A 15,557-nucleotide genomic window follows, 5' to 3' on the forward strand; every position below is an offset into this window, starting at 1 on the left:
ATGTAACACACTCCAGGGCAGGGAGAGGCAGCCTCGGAGACCTCTGGGGGCACCAAGCAGGGCTTCCACCCTAGCCTGAGGAGGGAGAGTACCTTTAGGCAGAGGACTACCTGTGAGTCAGGATTCCAGGGACAGTGTGCAGGCTGTGTCCTTAGGGGGACACATGTAAGTGGCCAGGAGGGGCTGCAGTTGGGGTCTGGGCAGAACCAGAGCCTGCAGACTTTGGATGCCGAGCCTGGGAGCCTGATTTTGACCCTGAGGGCTGGTAGTTTCCCAATGAGGCCCAAGTACGGGAGCTTCCTGAAGGCCCCAGGCAGCCCGGAGTAGGGAAAATGGGATCCTTCCCCTGCCTGCCACCAGAGCTGCTAGAGCAGAGTGTTCCCTGAGCATCTACTATGTGCATGGTGTTGCTCTAGCTGCCGGGACATGGCAGTGAACAGACTAGAATCTCCTGCCTTTAACTAGAATCTCCATCTTCAATTCTAGTTGGAGTACAGATGATACACAGAAATAAAATGAGCAAACATGTAATAGGGGAGTGATGAGTGGTAAGGAGAAATATGAGGTAGAGAAAAGGGAACTGAGAGAGGGTGGGGGAGAAGGGAGGGCCTCACTGAGGAGGTGACATTGGAGCCGAGGTTTGAAGGAGTTGAAGATGCGGGGAGGGATATTCTGGGAACAAGTTCAGGGGATTTTTGTTTTCTTTCTCTCTTTCTTTCTTTCTTTTCCTTTTTTTTTTTTTTTTTTTTTTGAGATGGAGTCTTGCTCTGTCACCCAGGCTGGAGTGCAGTGGCGTGATCATAGCCCACTGCAGCCTTGAACTCCTGGGCCCCAGCGATCTTCCCACTCTAGGAGATTTTTATTGTAAATCCACTGCTGCAGTGAGCCCAGGGAAGCCAGTAGAGGCTTTAATAAAATTCTGGTAAAATATACATAACAGAAAGTTTCCCATTTTCCCCATTTGTAAGTATATGGTTCAGCCGCATCAAGAACATTCAGGCTGCTGTGCAGCCATCACCACCATCCAGTCCAGAAATTGTTCATCATCTGAAACAGAAACTGTGCCTGTTCAATAGCAACTCCCTTCCCCTGCCCCCAGCCCCTGGCAACCCCCATTCTGCTTTCTGTCTCTGTGAGTTTGAATCACACCATATTTGTCTTTCTGTGACTGGCCTGTTTCATTCAGCATAATGTCCTCAAGGTTCATCTATTTGCGGCGTGTGTCAGAATTTCCCTCCTTTTTAAGGCTGAATACTACTCCATTGCACAGATGGACTAGATTTTGTTACTCCATTCATCACTGGAGGTTTCTGAGTAGGGAGCATCACAGTGTGATCTAGTGAGAGGTGGGGCCGGGCTGAGGGGTGACCAAGGGTTCAGTGGGGCCACGTTGGTTCTCACTGTGCCTCCCTCTAGCCTCAGCTCTGCCTTGGTTTTCCTGAATAGAGCTGCCCCTGCCACCAGTCCCCAAGGGGAGTCCTGCTTTCACTCTGATGGGTATGCTGAGGACCAATCTCTGCAGGCATCCTGGAGGAGGCAGCCTCCCACCAGAGATTTGAAGGTTGGAAGGGCAGGGAGGGCTGTGCAGAGGGAGACAGGAGATTCAGGGCTGGACCAGGGGGTCTGGGATGGGGAATCTGGGCTCAGAGATGGAGGGAGCTGGGGGCTGCCTGTGCTGGATGAGCCCCTGTGGCTTGCCTGAGTCCCACTGGCTCCCAGGAGCCATGGGAGCACCAGAGGAAATGAGCACAGAGAAGAGCTAGAGGACCGGTGGGTGAGGGGCTGCAGGGCCCACGCGTGAGTAAAATACAGATGCGCCCAATGCATAATCTGATGAGGCGACAAGGAAGCAACTTTAGCCATCTTTCTGGAGATGATAGGGTGTTTGAGCTAGGAGGTGAGAGAAAGGAGTGCTGTTTATTGAGCACCTACTATGTGCCGTGAGGCGTGAGGCACATGTTGTCTTGTGTCATCCTCTCATCAGCCCTCTCATTCTCCCCTTTTTCCAGATAAAGGAACCGAGGCTCTGAGAAGCAAAGTGGTTTGCCCAGGTCACACAGCTAGGGAGTAGGGGAAATAGAGTTTGAACCCAGGCCTGAAGGCAAAACTCTAAGAGGTTCATGCTGAACCAGGGTCTGGGAGGTTAGGGAGGTCAGGTCCCTGGTCTCAAACGGCAGGCCAGGTCCTCCAGGTCATCTCCTGCCTTTCCCAGAAGCCAAACCCAGTGGCTCCGGCCAGAGCCACAGAGCCATTTCCTGCAGCTGATGCACCGATAATCAGGCCTGGGGTTAATTAATACATCGCACCCCCAATTAAAAGCAGAAAGAAAGAAGATGTTGCATTCAATCAAGTCCCATTCTCCTTCTCCTGCAGAATCCTAATTTGTGGACACCAGTTTTAATTGTCTTCCCAGCGAGCCCAGCCCAGCTCAGGCCCTGAGGCTGGAGAAGACAATTGCATCCTTCTCAAAAATCTGTAACTATACCAGCCTCCCTGGGGACTGGCTGCAAGGAGTTACCTGAGCAGGGAGGGGGGCTCAGGGGCCGGGTAAGTCAAAGAGGAGAGATGGATTCTATGTCCCAGACTCAGCAGTGATGCTCACATGGGGATTAGGGTCTGGGTAGCTGGAGGGAAAGAGTATGGGTAGGGGGCCGGGTTACAGGCTTCCACTTAGAGCCCTCTAGAACTGGGTTCAGTTTCACCATTTACTCAGTCTGTGGCCTTGGGCAAGTCACTGACCCTCTCTGAGCTTCAGCCTCCCTATCTGAAAAGGGGGATAATAATGATCACACCCACTCCATAGCATCATGGTGGGAACACGAGAAAATGTATGTAAAGAGCTTGCACCTGGGTGTGGTGGCTCACGCCTGTAATCCCAGTGCTTTGGGAGGCTGAGGCAGAAGGATTGCTTGAGCCCAGGAGTTTGAAACAAGCCTGGGCAAGATAGCGAGACCCTGTCTCTACAAAAATTTTAAAAATTAGCTTGTTGTAGTGGCATGCACCTGTACTCCCAGCTACTTGGGAGGCAGAAGCAGGAGGATCACTTGAGCCCAGGAGTCCATGGCTGCGATGAGCTATGTTCAGCTCACTGCCATGTTCGTGCCACTGCACTCCAGCCTGGATGACAGAGTGAGACCCTGTCTCAAAAAATAAATAAACATGGCCAGGCGCGATGGCTCATGCCTGAAATCCCAGCACTTTGGGAGGCCGAGGTGGGCGGATCACCTGAGGTCAGGAGTTTGAGACCAGCCTGGCCAACATGGTGAAACTCCATCTCTACTAAAAATACAATAATTAGCTGGGCGTGGTGACGTGTGCCTGTAATCCCAAGCTACTCGAGAGGCTGAGGCAGGAGAATCGCTTGAACCTGGGAAGCAGAGGTTGCAGTGAGCCGAGATGGCACCACTGCACTCCAGCCTGGGTAACAAGAGTGAGACTCTGTCTCAAAAAAAAAAAAAAAACAAAACAAAATAATAAATAAATAAACAAAACAAAGAGCTAGGCACGGTGCCTGGCACAAAACAAATAGTCTTTATTTCTTAGAGATTATCAGTACATCATCATAATCAGCAGCAGCAGCAGCAGCATCAAAATACACATCAATCTGTGTATTTTCCAGTTTCTGGTGCTGGTGCAGTATCCTCACTCAGAGTTAGGAGAGGGAGGAAGACCCTGTTGCTGATTGAGCTGCCTGCTTTCAGTGGGGGTGAGAGGAACTGAGCTCCCCATCTCTGGAGGTGTGCAAGTGGGATGCGGAAGTGTGGAGCCTAGCAGCTGAATTTTACCTGATAACTCAGACCAAATCCTGGTAGGGGCTGGCAGACCCGTGGATCTTGGTCACAACTGCCAGTCAGACCAATGTTTAAAATCCATCTCTGTGTGAATCTTGGGCAAGTCATTTTACTTTCCGAGCCTCAATTTCCTCATCTGTCAAGTGGGAGTGGGTGAGAGTGTTAGAGACAATGTCTGCATGGTGTTGGGCACACAATAGATGCTCAGGAAAGGAAATGGATTTTTTTTTTAAACGAAGCTTTCTTTCCTGCCTCCCTACCTTTGCTCACAGGGTTCCTGCTTCCTGACATTTTCAGGCCTGCCTCTGCTTGTCAATATCCACCCATCCTTCAAGGCCCCTCCTCTCCCATGTGGAAGTGACCCTTTCCCTTCCCAATGCCCAAGGCTCTGCCCTTAGGACATCTATCACTTTCTCCTTCTGATGATCTGAGCTGGTGGGGCTCTCAGGACCATCAGGACTAACCCGAACTGTACAGAGGAGCAGAGGCTCAGAGAGGGGAGAGAGTCTCTGGAAGTCACACAGCAAGTCTGTCGGCAGAAACAGGCTCCGTCCTCCATCCTTGGCTCCCAGTCCAATGCTCCCGGCACTTACCTACGTCCACAGCGGGCTTCTCCCTCCGGGGCAGCTTGGGGTGGAGGTCGGGACAGGCCTTGGTGCTGCTGACTGTGAACAGGGAGGCCCAGATTTGTCGTCAGATGCCCAGAGCCTTGAGTTTCCCACTTGTCCTGTGGACACACTGCCTCCTTCACTACCGAGGTCAGAGTCAAAAGGTCCCTGAGGGTGCCTCCCCTAACCCACCGCCCGTAGGCAGCTCCTGGCCAGCTCTGGGGATCAGAGAAGCCCTGGGACCACAGCCCCTCTATGGAGTGGGAGAGCTGGTGGCCACACCCACAGCTAACTCGCTTGGCTCCCATGAGGCCTTGAACCTGCTTCTCTCCCTGTCCTCCTACCTGAAGCCCCTCCCTGCTCCCGGCTCTACTACCTAGCCTACTGGGGCTAAGGCGAGGGCAACACCTCCTCCAGGAAGCCTTTCCCGATTGCCTCCAGCTGGGTGAAATGCCTCTGCTGTGCCTGCCCAGGCCTTTGCACTCAGAATGAAACAGACTCCCTACCCTGCCCCACAGGACTCTGCAAGGTTGGCCATTTGAGATTGAGCCCTTTTTTTGTTTGTTTTTTGAGATGGAGTTTCGCTCTTGTTGCCCAGGCTGGAGTGCAGTGGCGCAATCTCAGCTCACTGCAACCTCCGCCTCCCAGATTCAAGCAATTCTCCTGCCTCAGCCTAACAAGTAGCTGAGATTACAGGTACCTGCCACCACACCTGGCTAATTTTTGTATTTTTGGTAGAGACGAGGTTTCACCATGTTGGTCAGGCTGGTCTTGAACTCCTGACCTCAAGTGATCCTCCTGCCTCTGCCTCCCAAAGTGCTGGGATTGCAGACATCTGTCACTGTGCCCTGCCGCGGGACTGAGCCTTTTTAAGAAATATTTAGGGCCAGGCGCGGTGGCTCACACCTGTAATCCCAGCACTGTAATCCCAGCTACTTGGGAGGCTGAGGCTTGAACCCGGGAGGCAGAGGTTGCAGTGAGCCGAGATCATGCCAGCACTCTAGCCTGGCGAAAGAGCAAGACTCCATCTAAAAAAAGAAAGAAAAAAGAGAAATATTTAGGTTGGCGCAAAAGTAATTGCGGTTTTGACCATTACTTTTCATGGCAAACCTGCAATTACTTTTGCACTAACCTATAGCTCTACCAGCACAAGGCATTTGGACACTCTGGGAAGAGCATGGACTTGGGCGTCACAGAGGGCTGGTTTCAAATCCAGACTCTACTATGTGGCCGTGGAAGGGTTACTCCCTGGCACTGGGCCTTGGCTGCCTGGTCTGAGCCATGCGGACATGTGATGGGGGGACCTGAAGCTGGCAGAGCTCACTCACCACCTGCTAAGATGTCAAACACATGTGGCCACTGAGCCCTGGGAATGGCAGGACTGAAAGGTGCCATGAACATGTAAAATGCACTCCAGTTTTCCATGACTTAACACAAAAAAGAGTGGAACATGTCTCATTAGTAATTTCTTTTTTCCAAGACGGAGTCTTGCTGTTGCCCAGGCTGGAGTGCAGTGACACAATCTCGGCTCACTGCGCCTCCTCCTCCCGGGTTCAAGTGGCTCTCCTGCCTTAGCCTCCCAAGTAGCTGGGACTACAGGCACATGCCACCACACCCAGCTAATTTTTGTATTTTTAGTAGAGATGAGGTTTTGCCATGTTGGCCAGGCTGGTCTTGAACTCCTGACCTTAGGTGATCTGCCTGCCTCGGTCCCCCAAAATGCTGGGATTACAGGCATGAGCCACCGTGCCCGGCCTCATTAATAATTTTCATTACATGTTCAAATAATTTTTTGATATCTTGGCTTAAATAAAATACATTATTAAAATTAATTAATTTCACGTGTTTTTTTTTACTTTCCTTTCATGTGGCTCCCAGGAGATGGAATATTCCATGCGCGCCTTGCAGTGTGGCTTGCATTCTGTTTCTGTTGGACAGCGAGGCCCTAGATGGCCACTTCTGGTGTCCCGGTGGAGAAGTGGCCGTGTGGCGGGGTCCTCCCCTGTGCTCCTGCCCACCCCAGGCTGCCATGCCATGCCAGGGCCCAGAAGGTGTCTGGGGATAAGAGGGTCTCTCCTGGCTGAACCCGGGCTGCTGAGTTACCCTATACTAGCCCCTGCCCTCTCTGAGCCTTGCCTTCTGCATGAGTAGGAAGAGCTGGTGGGCCAGAGTCAGGGTTTTCTGTCGGTTGGCAGGGGCGGGGGGGCCGTGGGCAGGAGGAGACTGAGTGGGGATGAATTGGAGGCCTGGCCCTTTCCGAGGAGACCCCAGCGGAGCCTCCACCCAAGGGCGGCCCTCTCTGTTCTCCTCCCACTCATGAGACGCACACACATTGTCTCCCGTGCCCCCGCCCACCACACATGGTTCCCACCTCACCCGTGTCTGGGAGAAGGAGGCATGCAGTGGCTGAGTCACACTGGCTGGGTCCGAGGGCTGGCTTCAGCCTTTCTTGCTCTGTGTTCTGCATTGAGCAAGTTCCCTGATAGTTCTGCAGCCATTTCCCCACTGGAAGAGGGGAAGTGGAGGCACTCTCTGATTTCCGTGGCTCAGGCAATGGCACCTGGAGAGGCCACAGCCGTGTCCCTCCACTGTCTTTTGACCAGCCAGGGTCACACTGGTGGTCATACCAGATCCAACCAGGGTCCTCACCCCTCTCCTCATGTTTGCAAATGCCCCTGGTGCCCTGGTGCCCTGCTGCTGGGCAGGAGGGATGTGAATCAAGGCAGAATCCGCCATCCTGGGGGAGGGACAAGCAACCCACTAGAATCACCTCTTCGGCTCTTCCCGTGCAGGCTCCTCACTATCTCCTTGTGTTCCGCTCAAGGTGGCAAGTGGGTGTCAGGGAAGACTCCAAGGGCGAGACCTGCCCAGGACTCTCAGGCAGGGTCCCCCTAGCTCTGGACCCTGCTCCACCACTGCCCAGCCAAGGTGTTTATTCATCATTCAAAAAGCACTTATTGGCTGGGCGTGGTGGCTTATACCTTACCTGTAATCTCAGCACTTTGGGAGGCCAAGGCGGGGAGATTGCTTAAGCCCAGGAGTTCAAGTCCAGCCTGGGCAAAAAGCAAGACCGTGTCTCTACAAAAAATTTGAAAAACTAGTTGGGCATGGTGGCTCGTGCCTGTAGTTCCAGCTACTCGGGGGGCTGAGGTGAGAGGATTGCTTGTGCCCCGGAGGTCAAGGCTGCCGCAAGCCTTGAATGCACCACTGCACTCCAGCCTAGACAACAGAGCGAGACCCTGTCTCAAAAATAAAATGTATTTATTGAGCACCTGCTATGTGCCAGGTACTGCTGCAGGAGCTGGGAGGGAAGGCTGACAATAAACATACATAAAATAGGCATATTAGCTGTGCTGTCCAATACAATAGCCATTACCTGCAAGTGGCTATTAACATTTATGTTTACATGAATTAAAATTAAATAAAATTTAAAATTCAGGTCCTCAGTCACATTTCAAGTGCTCAGCAGACACAGGTGACTGCTAGCTACTGTACTAGCTCAGTTACAGGACACCCTCCTCATGGCAGAAAGTCCTGTTGGCCAGTGCTGATGATGGCGTTGGAGGGAAGGGTGGTTTGAAGTGCCGGGTTTAAATGAGGTGGTCAGGGCAGGCCTCCCTAAGGAAGCGGACTTTGAGCAGGGTCCTGTGGCAGGAGAGGGAGGGAGCCATGTGAGGGAAGGCAGTTCCAGGGGAGTCTGAGGAAAGGGTGTTCCAGGCAGAGGAATCAGCAGGTGCAAAGGTCTTGAGGTGGAATCTCAACTGGGATGCCTGGGGAAGGAGCTGAAAGGAGGCCACTGTGGCAGGAGTAGGAGCAGGGAGTCAGGCAGAGGCCAACACTGGAGGGAATGGCCTCCCATGGAAGGCCCTGTCAGCCATCTGGAGTGCAGTGGTGCGTTCAAGGCTTGCTGCAGCCTTGACCTCCTGGGCACGAGCAATCCTTTTAGCTGGGCATGGTGGCTCATACCTATAATCCCAGCACTTTGGGAAGCAGAGGCAGTGAGGACTGTGGCTGTTACTGTGGGTAGGAGAACGCCCTGGGAGAGTGGTGAGTAGAGCAGGGACAGGGATGATTTATGTTTTGTCAAGGTACGTCTGGCTGCTGTGTGAAAATAGCTTGTTGGGGAGGAAGAGTGGAAGCGGGAGGCCAGTGAGGGTTCCCCACTGTTGCAGGTGAGAGAGGATGGCAGCTTGGCCCCAGGAAGGCAGTGGAGGTGGGGAGAAGGGGCCAGATTCTGGAGGTGTCGGGAGGCAGGACCCACAGGGTTCCTTGAAGACTGAATGTGGGAAGGGAGAGTGGAGGGAGGGAGCCCAGGGTGACTAGTTTCTGGGTTGATCCCCTGGAAGGAGGGGGTGGCCCTCACGGTGATGTGGGGGAGGGATCTTCCTTCCAGGTGCCTGCATTGCCTCTTACTTAGTGGGGATAAGAAGGGTCACAGCTTTGAAGTGGGCTATGTGTGATGGCGCCCCACACCATCCCTCGCAAATGTTCAGGAACTCAGACATTTATTCCTATTAACTAACCAGGCCTTGTTTACAGAACAGCGGCTGGGACTTCCAAGCCTCAGCAAGCGGGGAGCCTCCATGAGCTGCTTTCTAAACCCTTGACCTTGAGGATTAGGGACATCTCAAACTTGCTCTCAGCCCAGAAACCCACTGTTCAAGTAGGGCTGCACATGGAAACCCCATGAGCAGAGGAGAAACGGCAGAAGTTTCCAGATGGAGTCGTTTGTCAATTCGCATCACCTTCGGTATCCTGGGGACAGGGGGATGAGAGAGGTGGCCCCAGAGCAGGGGCCTGAATCTAGGATTTCACCTCCTAGCCCAGGACTCCCTCTTCCTCCTTCCCTAAGCTGAGCTGGGGTGGTGAGGACTCCCGGGGCTGGGAATCTGCCCCTCTGGGCCAGGGGACCCTGTTAGGTTGCAGCAGCCAGGAGGGACAGGGTGGGGGCCAGGGGATTGACAGCCACAATGTTCCTGGGTGACCTGCACGTTGCCAGGCGTCTTTCCAGGGCGATAATCTCTCCTGAGAAGAGGAAAGAATTCTAATTACATCTCAGGACAATATTTGTTTGGGGAGACGGGAGACAGAACATATGGTGGGGAGGGGCGCTGGGCCACATGAAGTGGGGATGTTTTCTCATTTACCTGGTGGGATGGAGGATGACGGATGGGGCAGGGCTCCTGCTGGGCCAGGGGAACCGTATGCCCTGGGCTGTGGTGGAGAGCTGGGCTCTGCATGGGGCAGGAGGCAGGAGTGGCTCCCACCTCACCCTGGGTGCCCTGAGATGGTGGAGAATTCCGTACCCATTCCATCCGCCGAGCAGCTGCTCTGCGCCCGCAACTGCCAGCGGCAGGAGCTCTGTGTCCCTGTCCTCCTGGAGCTGCCGCAGGCAACAGGGCAGGGCAGGAGGTGGGGGACCTTCTCGGGATCCTCAAGGAGGACCTTTCGGGGGGTGACATTTGAGCTGATCTTTGCCAGATCTGAAGGAGCCAGCCGGGCAAAGAGGGGTGGAGGGAAGGGCATTCCAGAAGGAGAACAGCCAGAGCAAGAGTGAGGCCAGAAAGGGAGGCGTGTCCACAGGACAGGGAGGAAGCCAGGGGAATGGGTGCTGATCCCCATACCTGGGGTCCCAGGGGAGGGTTCTAAGCAGGGGAGAGGCCACATCTGATTTGGTTTTGCAAAGATGGCGCTGGCCGCTGTACATGGATGCTGGAGTAACTCAGGAGGGGAACTGAGCTGGGTTACTGGAAGAACCTGGAAGAGCTGATGGAAGCGGCAGCTCCTCCCTGGCCTTCTTGCTGTCCACATCCAGCCCAGGCCTTCTCTGATCCCTGGCATGTTCTCCCACAGCGCCCGGCTGCTGGTGTGGCTCCAGGGCCGACACCTACTCCCTCATCGCCATCTCATGTTGGCTGCTGCACACACCCTTGGCCTGCCTTGCTGAGCTTCTTGGGTGCCCAGCTGAAGCCAGACCACTCCCACCAGCGGGCTTGCAGGTCACCCCACCCCCTCCACCCATCCCCCGCCGTGCAGGGCCAGCTGTTCCTACGTTCTCCACCTCCTTCACCCACTAGCCCCGTGGTTTCCTGAGCCCCGCCATTCTTCCCCCTGTTTCTTGCACAGCCCTGTTCACAGAGACACCCCATGACATGACAGCACGGACGGGCGAGGACGTGGAGATGGCCTGCTCCTTCCGCGGCAGCGGCTCCCCCTCCTACTCGCTGGAGATCCAGTGGTGGTATGTACGGAGCCACCGGGACTGGACCGACAAGCAGGCGTGGGCCTCGAACCAGGTAATGCCCCTGGGGAGATGCCCAAGCTGGGCTGGGGAAGTCCTGGTCCCTGGGGTAGGGGTATTTCTCTGCCCCTCTTCTCCTCTGAGGGATATGGGCTCCAACGCTGTTCTCCACACCACACAGCTGTCTCCCTCCCTTCTTCCTCCTGGGGTGGGGGTTTTAGGTGATCATGGAGGCTTATTTGGGGGAACGGGCAGGAGGCAGAGCTAGGCTGAGCACGTGAAATGGCCACAGCAAGGAGGGCCTTCCAGGGCACAGAGGGCCTCCCTTCGGGGTACAGGTGAGGAAACTGAGGCCAGAGGGACAAGCTGGCTTCAGGTTATGGAGCAAGGTGGGTCTTGTGACTCACTTCCCACCACTTCTCCGGGCCACACGGGCAGCCTTTTTATAAAGAGCTCTGCAAATGCTGAGTTCACTCACAGGCACACACGCATACGTGCACCAGGCTCCCAGCACACCCTTGGCTGCACATGTGCTCACCCCTCTACACGTGCATGCTCGTATGTACACACCTGTAGAGCAGATGCTGTGGGGGCTCTGCCCCATGCCTGGTGTGCAGCGTGCTCTGGGACCAGCCAACTGCCAGCTCCTCTGGCTCTGCTTGAGGGTTTTCTCTGGACACAAGAGCCTGCTGGCCATCAAGGCAAGCAGGAGGAGCAGGGGACTCAATAGGCAGGAGCAGCCCCCACCAATGACCCGCAAAGTTGGAGGATGAATGCCTCAGCTCCCTCGCCCTTAGCTGGGACAACCGAAGCATATTCTTCACTGTTTCACCAAGTGCCCAGTGGGACGAAGCTCCAATTGCCTACTGTGGTAACTAACCAACAACATACCCCCCATTATTAACTTTCTTCCCTTTTTCGTTTCACTCACCTTCTCCCCTACTTGTGTTTCCTGGGATCACCTCCCAAATAAACTACTTGACCTTTGTCTCAAGGTCAGCTCTTGGAGGAACTCCATCTGAATCATTTGCATCCTTACACATATGTATACACTAATGAACACGCAAACATAGAGATCTGCCCACCCATTCGTATATGAACACATATATCTGCACACATTCACAAACACGCATTGGCACACTCATACACTCCCCATGTTCATGAAAGAGTGTCTCACATGTGCCCAAGGGCATATCAAACTTTGTCTTGCTCCTGGGGGTGTCAGCTCCCTGACACTTCCAGCCCTGCCACATGCAGGCTTAGAGGACTTCAGTGGCCAGAGAAAGCCCTTAGGCAAATCGTTGCAGGTATCTGCGGTTGGAAGCTTCCAGGGTCAGTTTGCAAAGGTGGGGAATGTGGGCAGGGTTCCCACAGCGTCTGCACAGACGTTCACATGGGTGACACACCTGAAGGTACAAACACACTCTCAGAGTGACTCAAGGGTACAAACATGCTCCTAGCAACATACCAAGCCAATGCTTAGATTTCTGCCTGTTCACACTCCCTCCAATATATACCAAAGCACCCTTGTGTATCTAAATGCACAAATGTGGTCAGTTTTCTACATACCTCCATTATCTTCTTTTGCTCTGACCTCACCTCCTCCCCTGAGTGGATACAGAAAGGGACCCCAACTCCAGACTCCATGGCCCCCGAGCCTCATCTGCTGTCGTGAGAATCTTAGCGGTTGTCCGTATCCCTATAATGTGTCTCCCCACACTGCCACCCCACCCCCACCCTGTGCTAACACCTTGTCTCTGCTCTCTCCGCCCCTCCCCGATCCCAACAGCTAAAAGCATCTCAGCAGGAAGACGCAGGGAAGGAGGCAACCAAAATAAGTGTGAGTTTTGATAATGACTTCTCGAAAGGGCTCTAATGGAGGGCACAGCTGTGACTTAAAAAAAAATTGGGGTCCAGTTCAGCAGGGAGCTTGGGCAAGAAGATGGAAGAGAAGAAAAAGAGAAGGGAAAAAAATGGCCTTGCTCTGTTTTTTAAAAGCCGGAGATTTTTCAAGTTCATTCAATGATGGGCACAAAAAATGACAGGGGAGAGAAGATGCATTTTCTCCTGTCAGGGCCAAGGCTGTGTGCATCCTGGTGCCTTCGTGCTTGTCTCAGCAGCATTTTTTATTTGGGGAACCAATGAGGTCTGATGAGCCTGAGCCAGCTTTTTTTGGCCTATCATGACTGACTGAGTGTTACGCCATCTCAGGGTCACTTGGTGATCTGGCCCCGGGGACGGGGTGGGGGCACCCTAGCCAAAGGATTTCAGGACTGGCCAGGCCTTCTTATTTATTGACTCATTTGTCAATAGCCACACTCTGTAAGAAGGGCCAAGCATTCACCCATTTTGCAGGTGGGGCAGCTGAGGCTCAGGAGGTCAGGGACTTGCCAGAGGTCACGCCAAGGGTGACTGGTGTTGCTGAGCTACCTGGCTTCAGGGCTGAAGCTCTTTGTCACCAGGCTGTGCTGCAGGCCAGTGCAGCTGGGGCCCAGGGGAGTTCAGGGAGTGACGGCTTTTGTGAAGGAGGGGGCACCCAAAGCCAGTCCTGGGAGAGGCAGACAGGAGACAGGAGGTGAACTGGGGAGAGAACATGGAGTGGAGGGGACCTGCCCAGGGACACATGTGGCCATGCAACGAGGCAAGGTTTGTGCATGGGGCGTGAGGTCAGCTTGGCAGGGGCGTGAGGCAAGCCTGGCAGGAGGCTAGACATCTACCAGCAACACACTCAGAAAAGGCAGGTGCCCGTGGGGGTATGAATGTGCGTGTGTGCGTGCATGCTTGTGTGTTTGTGTGTCCTCGCATGCGCATGGCGGGGAAACCTTTCTAAATTCACCCTTTTTTGCTTGATTCTTCCACAACTTTTCAAGGACTTGTAGGGGAGCTCAGGACCCCAAGGCCAATTTGACAGGGATGAGCAGAGGAGCTGCACCCCCAAACCGAGGTCACCATGTGGAGAATGGGCACAGGGAGTCATTGGGGTGCCATGTCGGGCATCAGAGGTGGCATCATGGAGGCAGAGAGGCCAGGGAGGAGGCTTCTGCAGCCCCTTCAGGCGGGAGGGGGTGGGCAAGAGAGCAAGGATCTTCAAAGCATCATTTGTGCTGTCTGGCCCAGGGCACAGTTGGGGTCTGAAAATTCAAGCCATTTTTATCCAGCTCAGGGTGGCTGTGGGTCCACCCCCGACCCTCTGCCAAGGGCGCATCCATATCGAACACCCCGTTTCTGGCCCAAATACCCATCCGTTAAGCCCAGGCAGGTAGATCTGTGTGCATATTAATACCCCGTTCATCACAACCCTTTCTCCTATAATTTTGCCTGGGGTTTAAGGAGCGGCTCTGGCAAAGGAGAGAATAATCTAATTGATTTAGAGGATTAGAATTCCAGGCTGCTGGGTCCCACATGAGGGAAATGCGACAATGCTAATTAGTTAAATAAAATAAATGTGCTCAGCATGAATGTGCAATTACCCCCAGCCCCCCACCCCCAGCCCCTGCAATTCCTGCAGCAGCTGGGGCTCCGAGGGTCTGGTTAGGAAATGCACAGACAGGCATGGGCCAAGCTCCTCGTGCAGACAGCGCCACAAGAAAAACCATTCCTAATACACAGGTACTCCCTGGATTCCTGCAGTCTGAGGAGGTGGCCCAAACTTTTCTCCATGGCCTTCAGAACTCTGCACAATTGCTCTGCCCACCCTCCAGCCTCACCTCTTGCCTGACCTCACCCCCCTTCCCCTCCCGACCCTGGCAGCCTTTCCACCTTCCCATTCCTTCCCACCTCCAGGCCTTTGCACAGGCTGGTCCGCCTGCCTGCAAAGCTGTTCCTCTCTCTCTTCCCACGGAGCTCAGCTTGGGGAAGCGTCCCTTGAACTTGTGACCCAGCTGGCGCCCCTCCCATTTCCCTGCTGGCTGTATTTCTGGTTGTCGTTATCCGCTTGTGTGAGTTTTTGCTTCATGACTGTCTCCCCTAGAGATGAGGGGTGCTGGGACTGAGCCTGCCTGACTCACTGTTGCATTTCCAGAGTCTAGCACAGAGCCTGGCATGGTGTAGTAGGTACCCAATAAATATTTGTTGAATAATTATCACACACACAGACATACGCCCAGGCCAATGTGTGTGTGAACCCATACACAGATTTTTTTTTTTTTTTTTGAGATGGAGTTTCACTGTTGTCACCCAGGCTGGAGTGCAGTGGCGAGATCTTGGCTCATTGCAACCTCCGCCTCCTGAGTTCGAGAAATTCTCCTGCTTCAGCTTCCCCAGTAGCTGGGAATATAGGAACAGGCCACCATACCTAGCTAATTTTTTTTTTTTTTTTGTATTTTTAGTAGAGACAGGGTTTCACCATGTTGACCAGGCTGGTCTCGAACTACTGACCTCAGGTGATCCTCCTGCCTCAGCATCCCAAAGTGTTGGGATTACAGGCATGAGGCACCGCGCCTGGTTGGTGTGGATCCCATGTCTGTTCACATATGCGTACCGGTGACATGACGTGAACGAGTGAAAGAGCTCCTGCGGGGGCCCGGGAAACCCAGACCCTGTGTCTACAGGGAACAGCTGAGCCAGGCAGGGACCTAGGCCCCATATTCCCATGACTTCTAAAAATCCCGATTTTAGTGGAATGTCTCCTGAGTCTTAACTGTTGGGACCTAATTAGATCTTTTGAAAAACACTGTCTAAGCCAAATAGTGCAGTCTACAGGCTGGTGGAATCCCAGAATCTCATAGGGAGATCATTTACGTCAGAGGACAGGCATATGTGATCAAATAATAATGGTCCAAGGTTGAGGGTAAGAAAGTGCTGTCAGCTTCCAGGGGCTTGGTGCGGGGAGGGCTTCGTGAACCTGCCTGGGTGGCCATGTTAGCCTTGTGAAGATTCAGACTCTAAGAGTCGGCTGTGCTGACTGCCAGGCGGGGA

At 53.8% G+C, this 15,557-nt stretch overlaps 1 protein-coding gene across 2 annotated transcripts in view, besides 1 other annotated feature; it reads left to right on the forward strand.

Annotated features, from left to right (window-relative positions):
• The window catches only part of VSTM2L (V-set and transmembrane domain containing 2 like), a 42,224-nt gene that overhangs the window by 17,983 nt on the left and 8,684 nt on the right, over positions 1–15,557 (forward strand). The window contains exons 2-3 of one of the 2 annotated variants that reach the window (NM_080607.3): positions 10,526–10,695; positions 12,430–12,480. In NM_080607.3, coding sequence (NP_542174.1) covers positions 10,526–10,695; positions 12,430–12,480 — 221 coding nt within the window. The remainder of the gene's footprint in view (positions 1–10,525; positions 10,696–12,429; positions 12,481–15,557) is intronic. The other variant, XM_011528530.2, reaches the window with a different exon arrangement.
• Positions 1,411–1,510: an enhancer, noted in NCBI's record as "active region_17852". NCBI's record gives its function as "activates an Ori minimal core promoter by ATAC-STARR-seq in GM12878 lymphoblastoid cells {active_cell/tissue: GM12878}" and the evidence as "EXISTENCE:reporter gene assay evidence [ECO:0000049][PMID:35858748]".

Source organism: Homo sapiens, chromosome 20 (assembly GCF_000001405.40).
Source record: "Homo sapiens chromosome 20, GRCh38.p14 Primary Assembly".
Lineage (NCBI taxonomy): Eukaryota > Metazoa > Chordata > Mammalia > Primates > Hominidae > Homo > Homo sapiens.